Source organism: Homo sapiens, chromosome 8, assembly GCF_000001405.40.
Source record: "Homo sapiens chromosome 8, GRCh38.p14 Primary Assembly".
In the NCBI taxonomy this organism is placed as follows: Eukaryota; Metazoa; Chordata; class Mammalia; order Primates; family Hominidae; genus Homo; species Homo sapiens.
In genome coordinates, this window is record NC_000008.11 from 126,399,975 (window position 1) to 126,410,029 (window position 10,055).

At 42.0% G+C, this 10,055-nt stretch overlaps 1 annotated feature.

The window, feature by feature from the left end:
• Positions 319-820: an enhancer, noted in NCBI's record as "OCT4-NANOG hESC enhancer chr8:127412538-127413039 (GRCh37/hg19 assembly coordinates)". NCBI's record gives its function as "activates a minimal SCP1, AML or CMV promoter by ChIP-STARR-seq in primed H9 embryonic stem cells {active_cell/tissue: H9 hESC(primed)}" and the evidence as "EXISTENCE:reporter gene assay evidence [ECO:0000049][PMID:30033119]".

Consider the following 10,055-nt stretch of genomic DNA (forward strand, 5'->3'; position numbering starts at 1 on the left):
GCGGAGCTTGCAGTGAGCCGAGATCGCATCACTGCACTCCAGCCTGGGCGGCAGAGCGAGACTAGCCTCAAAAAAAAAAAAAAAAAAAAAAGCCGGGTGCGGTGGCTCACGCCTGTAATCCCAGCACTTTGGGAGGCTGAGGCGGGTGGATCACAAAGTCAGGAGATGGATACCATCCTGGCTAACACTATAAAACCCCATCTTTACTAAAAATACAAAAAATTAGCTGGCAGGAGAAAAGCATGAACCCAGAAGGCGGAGCTTGCAGTGAGCTGAGATCCCACCACTGCACTTCAGCCTGGGCAACAGAGCAAGACTCCCTCTAAGAAAAAAAAAAAAAAAACAGAAAAACTAAAATTTATCAAAGCTTATGCACATACAGACTGCACATGGTGCTATTCCCAGTCCAGAGAAATGGAAGTAAACCTAAGGATACAGTATTAAATTACAACTGCATAAAATTAACTGTGGCATACACCACACTACTGTAATAATTTTGTAGCCACATCCTGTTGCTATTGCATGTGCTCAAGTGTTGCGAGTATCCCCTTAAAACACTGTGTGATGCTAATCATCTCCGCATGAGCGGTTCCTTTCTCTAGTAAATTGCCTATCTCAGTAAAAGGTGATCTCTAGTGTTTCTCACGTATTTTTCATCGTGTTTACTGCAATAGCGTAAACCTTGAATAACACCATGGGACCCATACAAAGTGCCAGTAGCGATGCCGGAAGTGCTCCCAAGAAGCAGAGAAAAGTCCTGACATTACAAGAAAAGATTGAATTGCTTGATATGTACCATAAATTGAGGTCCGCAGCTGCAGTTGCTGCCACCGCAGACAATTCATTCATCTTGTAAACAGACAATATAAACTGAGGGTATCGATAAATACAATATGGTACTATAAAGGTATTTTCTCTGCCTTATAATCTTCTTAATAACATTTTCCTTTCTTTAGCTTACTTAAGAATACAGTATATAACATATATATTAATCACAAAATATGCATTAATCAACTTTTTGTGATAAGGCTTTCAGTCAGCAGAAGGCTACTAGTGGTTAAATTGGGAGAAAATCAAAAGTTATACATGAATTTTTGGCCAGGCGCGGTGGCTCACACCTATAATCCCAGCACTTTGGGAGGGTGAGGTGGGCAGATCACTTGAGGTCAGGAGATCGAGACCAGCCTGGCCAACATGGTGAAACCCCATCTCTACTAAAAATACAAAAATCAGCTGGGTATGGTGGTGCACACCTGTAGTGCTAGCTACTCGGGAGGCTGAGGCAGGAGAATTGCTTGAACCTGGGAGGTGTATGTTGCAGTGAGCCGAGATTATGCTACGGCACTCTAGCCTGAGAGACAGAGCGAGACTATGTCTTAAAAAAAAAAAAAAAAAAAAGAAAGTTATACATGGATTTTTGACTTCATTGGAGGTGCCCCTAACCTTTGGTTTGTTTCAAAAGTCAACCGTGTGTGTGTGTGTGTGTGTGTGTGTGTGTGTGTGTAGATACACGTGAGGGAGAGAATTTTAAAGAACCGGCTTACACAAATGTGGAGGCTGGCAAGTCTAAAATCTAATGTGTAGGGCAGGCCAGCGGCATGGAGATTCACCTAAGAGTTGATATTGCAGTCTTGAGTCTGCAGTCTGGGAACCCAGGCAGAATTTCTGTGTTGCAGTCTAGAAGCAGAATTCCGTCTTCTTTGGGAAATCTTAGTCTTCGATCTTAAAGCCTTCAAATGACTGCATGAGTCCAATTACAGAAAGTAACCTGCTTACAGTCATCCCCGCTTAACCACAGTTTCACTTTCTGTGGTTTCAGTTACCTGTGGTCAACCATGGTCTAAAGACATTGAATGAAAATGTCTAGAAATAAACAGTTCATAAGTTGTACATTGTGCGCCATTCTGAGTAGCGTGATGAAATGTTGAGCCATCCTGCTCTGTCCTGGGAGGTGAATTGTCTTTTGTCCAGAATGTCCATGTTGTATACGCTACCTGCCTGACAGTTCCAGAGTAGCCAGCTCGGTTATCAGATCAGTTGTCACGGCATTGCAGCGCTCGTGTTCAAGTCATCCTTATTTTACTTTATAATGTCTCCAAAGCACAAGGGTAGTGATGCCGACAATTCAGACATGCCAAAGGGAAGCCAGAAAATGCTTTCCTTAAGTGAAAAGGTGAAAGTTCTAGACTTAGTAAGAAAACAAATTGTATGCTGATGTTGCTAAGATCTATGATAAGAATAAATCTTCTATCTATGAAATTATAAAGAAGGAAAAAGGGCCCGGCGCGGTGGCTCATGCCTGTAATCCCAGCACTTTGGGAGGCCGAGGTGGGGAGATCACGAGGTCAGGAGATAGAGAGGATCCTGGTGAACACGTTGAAACCTCATCTCTACCAAAAATAGAAAAAAATTAGCTGGGCAAAAAAAAGAAAAAAAAAAAAAAGAAGGAAAAAGAAATGTAGCCAGTTTTGCTGTTGTACCTCTCACTGCAAAAGTTAAGGCCACAGTGTGTGGTAGCTGCTTAATTAAGATGGAAAAGGCGTTAAATTTGTGAGTAGGATAATAAGTTTTTTTAGACAGAGAGAGAGACCACATTCACATAACTTTTATTATAGTATATTGTTTATTATTTATTATTATTGTTAATCTATTACTGTGCCTAAGTTATAAATCAAACATTATCTTAGGTATCCATGTATAGGGGAAAACACAGTACATATAAGATTTGGCGCTATCCAAGGTTTCAGGCATCCACTGAGGGTCTTCAAATGTATCCCCTATGGATAAAGAGGTCTAGTGTACCCAAAAATCTACTGACTATAAATGTTAATTGCGTCTAAAAAATAACTTCATCACGGAGACATCTAGATTAGTGTTTGAACAAACGACTGAGCATCATAGCCTAGTCACATTGACACATACAATTAACCATCACACAGGTTATAAACAAAGTCTTTGTCCTGTACATCTTCCTGATCCATCAACTTTTTCTCTTTGGTTAGAAATTTAAAACATTCTCTATGTTAAAAGAAATAGATATAATATGCAGAGGGATAGAAATAATTGCTCTTGGATTTGTAATACAAGACATGAAAACATTAAAGAAATCTTCAAAACATGTCTCCACTACTTAGTCCTTCGCCAGCCACCATCAGAGTGCGTAGGTGGGTATGTCTGCTACATTCATCTATGCGGTCCGGGTCTGGCTTCCATTGCCAGCATCAGCACAAAACCCCTTCTAACCTCTAGACAAGCCTGAAGCTCCTGCTACTTATCCTGTTGTAGCTCTTCCCCAAGCACAGACACATTTTGCCATGGACCAAGAAGAAATGAAGGTCAAGGATGCGATGAGGTTGTAGTAGTGGGAGGTGGGGAAAACGGAAAGAGGATCAAGCAGAGATTCAGTGCAGGAAGTAAAGGGCTCTAGGCACAACTCAGACTGGGGCAACTGCTCCCTTCTATTCAGAAATCTCACGCTGGGATTTTTCCTCTCTCCATGCTCGTCTCTCAACTAAGAGAAGACATGGTTTGCTTGGAAGACAGCCAAGTACAGTAATTAATGGTATAGATTTAAGCAGACAGGCCTGGATTTGGGTCCCAAACTAAGCCACTCACTACCTAGCTGACTTTTAAGGTACAATTTAACCCTCTCCGGGCCTCACTTTTTTTATTTGTTAAACAGGGATTGAAAGTAATATTTCCTTAACACACACACAAACACACACACGAAGAGACACAAGGATATTAGTAAAAGTGATGGATATATCTATGTCTAGTATCTTAATTGTGATGATGGTTTCATGGGTGTGTGCATATGTCTACACTCATCAAATTGTTTGCATTAAATACGTGCAGTTTGACTGGGCACGGTGGCTCACGCCTGTAATCACAGCACTTTGGGAGGCTGAGGCGGGTGGATCACCTGAGGTCAGGAGTTCGAGACCAGCCTGTCCAACATGGTGAAACCCCATCTCTACTAAAAATACAAAATTAGCCGGGTGTGGTGGTGGGCGCCTGTAATCCCAGCTGCTCAGGAGGCTGAGGCAGTAGAACCGCTTGAACCCAGGAGGCAGAAGTTGCAGTGAGCTGAGATCTTGCCACTGCACTCCAGCCTGGGCAACAACGGAAAAACTTCATCTCAAAAACAAACAAACAAAAAAAAGTGCAGTTTGTCGTATATTAATCATCCCTCAACAAACAAAGCTTTTTTTAAATAGTATTTTTTAAAGTTATGATGAGGACTCAAAGATATTACGCCAGAAAATGCAGATAAATTATAGTTATTACCACTTTTTTGTTTGTTCTAATAATGTTCCAAGTACTTTAGTTTGTTTTTCCTTCATTTGTTCTAACACTGTTCCATGTACTTTCTGTACATTTATTCAATCAATTCTTTTTTTTTTTTATTTGAGATGGAGTTTCACTCTTGTTGCTCAAGCTGGAGTGCAGTGACACAATCTCAACTCACTGCAACCTTCACCTCCCAGGTTTGAGAAATTCTCCTGCCTCAGCCTCCTGAGTAGCTGGGATTACAGGCATGCGCCACCACACCCAGCTAATTTTGTATTTTTAGTAGAGACGGGATTTCTCCATGTTGGTCAGGCTGGTCTCAAACGTGCGACCTCAGGTGATCTGCCAGCCTCGGCCTCCCAGCGTGCTGGGATTACAGGCGTGAGCCTCCACACCTGGCCTCAATCAATTCTTACAACAACCCTGAGCTAAGAACTTGGTATTGCTCCTTGTCTATTTAGAGCCTGTGTAGGGATCAGCAAAAGGCTCCCTTTCTTCAAGCCACTTTACTTCCATCTATTGGAAAACTGTCATAATAAACTATTCTTATTAGAACAAGATACAATATTGGCATCTGCTAGGAAGCTTTGGTAACAAAGATCCACCTCTCTCATGATGGGAACGGCAACCCCTTACATCTGGTGCCATTGTGCTATACATGGCTGTAGACATTATCGTTATTTCTATTTTACAGTTCAGGTGACTTCAGTTCATAGAGGTTAAGTCACTCAGCTGAGATTATACCAGGAGTCATCACTGTGCTTTGAGCCAAGGCAAACAGCACAGGGCCAGGTAGAAAGTAGGGTTTCATTAAACATTAATTCCTGTTTTTGTCCTTGTTAGAACTAACTCAAAAAGGCAAAGTGGAGTTTCTTACAGGTTTTTGCCTTAAAAGGAAAGTTATTCAAATGGCAGTGTAATGGATAAATTAGAAAAGATAATTGCATTACCTGTATGAATTGGTATGGCATTATTAGTTGGTTTGTGCAGCATAGTTTTGATTTGTATGTTATAATGCAGCCTTTGTGTGTGTATTAAAGTTTTGCTAATTATTAAATGCCTTGCGTCTGTGACACACTTTATCCTCTTCAAAGGGTCTCTCCATTTACTCCTGACAATAGCCCTGGATTGGAAAGGACACATGTTATCATTCAGATTTCACAGACGTAAAAAGGAGGACTGTCTGTCCAGCATGGTTCCCTATTCATGTGGTAAAGGGCTAGGCAGATGAATGTTAAATCTTTTATTCAGGAAGAACAATTAATTTCTGAAGAAATCGACTGGGGTCCAGGCCACAGGCCACCCATTAAATCCTCTCTTTAACTCATTGGACAAAACCCCTGAGGATACAAAGCTAAGAAGCAGCACCTAACCCAGAGAGCTCACATGGACTGGCTGGTGAGACAATGCTACCCTGAGCAGAGTGCTGAAATAGAGATGCACTCAAGTACACCAAGAAGCAGAGGGTCCAATTTCCAGCCCTGCTACTTACTAAGGCTGCAGTCTTGGGTGAGCTACTCAACTTTCCATTGCTTCAGTTGGTTTATTTCTAAATGAAAAACACAGTAACACGCCAAAGGGTTATTGTAAAGATTAAATGAGTTTATATATAAAAGCATTTAGATTAGCATGTGACATATAGCCCAGTACAAGGGATGTACTGTGTGAGTGTGTGTGTGTGTGTCTGTACAAACACACATATATCCTCCCCTCCCCTCCCCTGCCCTCCCCTCCCCTCCCTCCTTCCTTCCCTTCCTTCCTTCCTTCCTTCCTTCCTTCCTTCCTTCCTTCCTTCCTTCCTTCCTTCCTTTCTTCCTTCCGTAGAAGTGATCAGTTCTTTGTGATCTGTTAGGAAACAGAGAAGACATCAGGGGGAAGTAATTGCCCTCACTCTTCCTCAAAAGATTTCAGGAAAATAGTCCTTGACAGAAGGAACCAGAACACACAGTATGATTAACTTTTTTGAAGTATCAGGCAAATCTCCAGAAGGGAATGAGAACTTGCCAAAGTTACTGACAACCCTATGTTTTGGAAATACTAATTTTAGGGACATTCCTTTAAAACATGAAACACATTTTCCTTTTATTTTAGACAGAGAATGTGAAGCCTACTTAGCCTTTTCTTGATGACTCAGGGTCAGTCTTTTGTTTTTATTAATCTCACCTAAGAGCCACTCCTGAGGGGCTGCCTAAATCTACATGAGTAGCCTACTGAGGAGTCTGAGAGGGGCAGTTCCTCCATGACAAATGAAATGATGTGGCCTCTTACACCATCTCCAGGTTCTCATTCCAACAGCAAAGGAAACCTGCAGTGTCTCCTTGAACCTATTCCCACCACTGTCCTCGTTTGACTCTTTCCGTCCCTTGTGGACTTTGGTTCTTTGTCAGTTTCTATTTCTATTTCTTTTTGAGTCTTAGCAAAAGGACTTGGACCTTTTAGAAGAATGGGCCCTGTGCAAAACCAAAACACTGAAGAAGCTTGGAAGGGAAAAATAGATTAAATCATTGTGTCTCCTAGAGTGTGCCAATAAAAAATAAAGACTCATTTCTATTGAGTAGTTCTCACATTGTGTTAAACTGTTCTGAGGGTTATGAGCAACATAAGAAGTAAAAGCAATGGTCAACCTTTTTCTCTGTTGCTTGAGAGTTTGCAAAGCAGCCTAACTTCCAGGATCTTTAAACAGGAGCTCTCTAAATATCAACAGGTCTGCAAATGTTTAGAGCAAGTTAGGTGGAAATGCTAGGACTCAACCCTTCTGAGTTTAAATTTTGTTCCTTTTTATTTTTTCTATTATATCATCTCACCTGTCTGAAGCAGAGAAGTTTATAATCCACTTTGTGTATGGAGAACCTGTATCCACAAAAAGTTTAATAACACACCCCATTATTAAGATGCTTGATGGGGCTTTCTAGAGCCCTGCAGGAATGCAGAGGAAGGGGATCCTCTGAGCTAGACCGTGAAAGGCACCTTTTTATTTTATTTATTTTTAATTTTCATTTTTTCCGAGACAGAATCTCTCTCTGCCGCCCAGGTTGGAGTGCAGTGTTGCAATCTTGGCTCACTGCAGCCTCTGCCTCCTGGGTTCAAGCGATTCTCCTGCCCTAGCCTCCCGAATAGCTGGGATTACAGGTGTGCACCACCATGCCGGGCTAATTTTTGTATTTTTAGTAGAGACGGGGTTTCTCCATTTTGGCCAGGCTGGTCTCGAACTCCTGGCCTCAAATAATCCACCCAAGAGGCACCTTTTTAAATGAGGCAGGGTTCGGGAGAAGGATTAAATGTGGAAATCCCATGAGCAAGGGAGTGAAAGCAGAAATAAGTCATTGCCTCTCTTTCTTTCTTCCTTCTTTTCCAAGTGCCTCTCTTTTTCTTTCTTCATGTCCTTCTGTACTTCCTTCTACCCCCAGTAGAAATCGTGACCAATGCTGGGTTTTTGTTTCATTTTGTTTTTTCACAGCCTCTAAGAATAAAGTAAAGAGAGAGAGACAGAGAGAGAGATTGGTCAGGGCAAAGGGAGTAACCAAAGAGAGAACTATGTAACATTTTCCCTTTTAGTCCCAACCTACCTGTAGGTTGAATCATATGAAATTGAAAGTATTTGTTTTTTTTTTAATTTCCTTTAAATACATCAACTTCATGTACTTCAACTTAAATATATGAGGATGTTAATAAAAATATTTCTGGATAAAGCCCAGTAAAATATGGGAGTAGTCTTTATCAAATCAGTGTGGGATTGGATGCCAACTCTCGGATGGCCCCATGACACCAGCTACAAGAACCCTCATCCTACTGCCTCTCCTGGGTACCACTGTCTTATTCACGGTCCTTTTATAGGCATCTTTAAAACAGAGCCACCCTGGGAGGTGGGAGGGCTTGTTATCGCCACTTGACTGCCATGAAACCAAGAGTTCATCTGAAAAAGCACAGACCTTGGTTTGAATCCAGAACTTTCCAATTCCTGGCCATGTAATCTTAGGCAAGGTATTTGCCTTATCTTGGCCTCAGTTTCACATGTAATGAATGGGATGACATGTATCATATCACAATCATGCATCACTACATGAGAACATGCATGCAAAGCACTTTATCACAGTTCCCAGACCAGAGTGAGAAATAAATGGGAGCTGTTTTGAAATACATTATTACTAATAATAACCCATGGTGTAGGGGAGAGAAGATTTTCCCTCTACCTTTGAGGGTTTGATAGTTGCATCTTTGAAATACACTGTCAATAGGCAGATTAACTGGAGAAAAAGTATACAGAATTATCACACGCACAGGGATCATAGGAAAGAAAAGGGAACACTCAAAACCCAGTAAGATTTAGGAGCTTATTGGCTTTCTTCATAAGGGAGAAGGGAACGGGGCTGTAGGCAATTTAGGACAGAGTAAACGATTTGGGGGAAAGATGAATGGGCCCTTAGGAGAACAGATGATAGTTTGTGACAAAACTTAGGGGTGGGGTGTCGACTTCCAGGCCCCTGTCCTGTGATATGCGTTAATCCTCCCGGGTTGATGAAACTCCAGGGAGGGAATGATGAGAGTTGAGCTGTTTTTGGAGGATCTGTCTTTAGGCAGTTAAAGAGGATTCAGAGAAAACCTCTCCCTACATTTGCTGTTTTTTAAGTACCCTTGGCTTGAAGTAATCAATATACCAAAGAAGCATATTTTGGGGTGACATTTCCTGAACTTCAGTAGGGAGGCCTGAATGAACGTAACAATTCAGAAATTGGGTCTTCATATGCTCACTTTGCCAGATTTGGAAGCAATACAGGGAGAAGAGGATTGCTGCTTGTGTATCTGTAGACAGGTGGTTAAATGCCTGTGAAGTGCTTCATCTGGCTGAGACACCAGGGAGGCAGGCTGCATGGCCCCTCTCCAGGTGACAGCTGTCCATCTGTCAGGTGCACAGCCCATCTGGCTGCTGGAGAGTGATGTAGGAACATGACAATGGCAGGAGAGGCTTGTGAAATATAAAAAAGGCTACAATAGTTCTGCCAGTGAACGGGCCACAGTGGTTATCAAACTTCTATGCATCCAAACCATCCAAGAGGTACTAAATAGAGCTTTGCTTGCTTGCATTCTGTTTTGTTTTGTTTTATTTTGAAGACTGAGTCTCACTCTGTCCCCCAGGCTGGAGTGCAGTGGTGCCATTTTGGTTCACTGCAATCTCCACCTCCCAGGTTCAAGTGATTCTCCTGCCTCAGCCTCCTGAGTAGCTGGGACTATAGGCGTATGCCACCACGCCCATCTAATTTTTGTATTTTTTAGTAGAGATGGGGTTTCACCATGTTGGCCAGGCTGGTTTTGAACTCCTGGCTCAAGTGAGCCGCCCTCCTTCCAAAGTGCTGGGATTACAGGCGTGAGCCACCATGCCCAGCGTGCTTGCTAGCATTCCACAAGAGCAGCTTGATTTTCCTGGTCAAAGGCTCCACGTGCGATTTAAGAGGGCAGATTGTCCTATCCCCTCAGAAATGGGAGATTTATTCTTGTATTCTCATTTATGGGGTATGGAAGTGTAAAAAACACACCTAATGTGTGTCAGTAACTGTGCTCTGAAAATGCAAAGGTAAGTAAGACGTCCATCAAGGAGCTTGAACCTGAGTGGAGAAGATCAAGAAACAGACTCAGTTTTAATACAGAGTGAAGGGGCAGACGCAAAATCTGTGGGGCCTAAAGCTTATACTATTTACTGAGGGTCTCTTAGAAATCATAACAACAAAATAAAATAACAAAATTAGGTATTAAAGTGCATGAGTAAATAT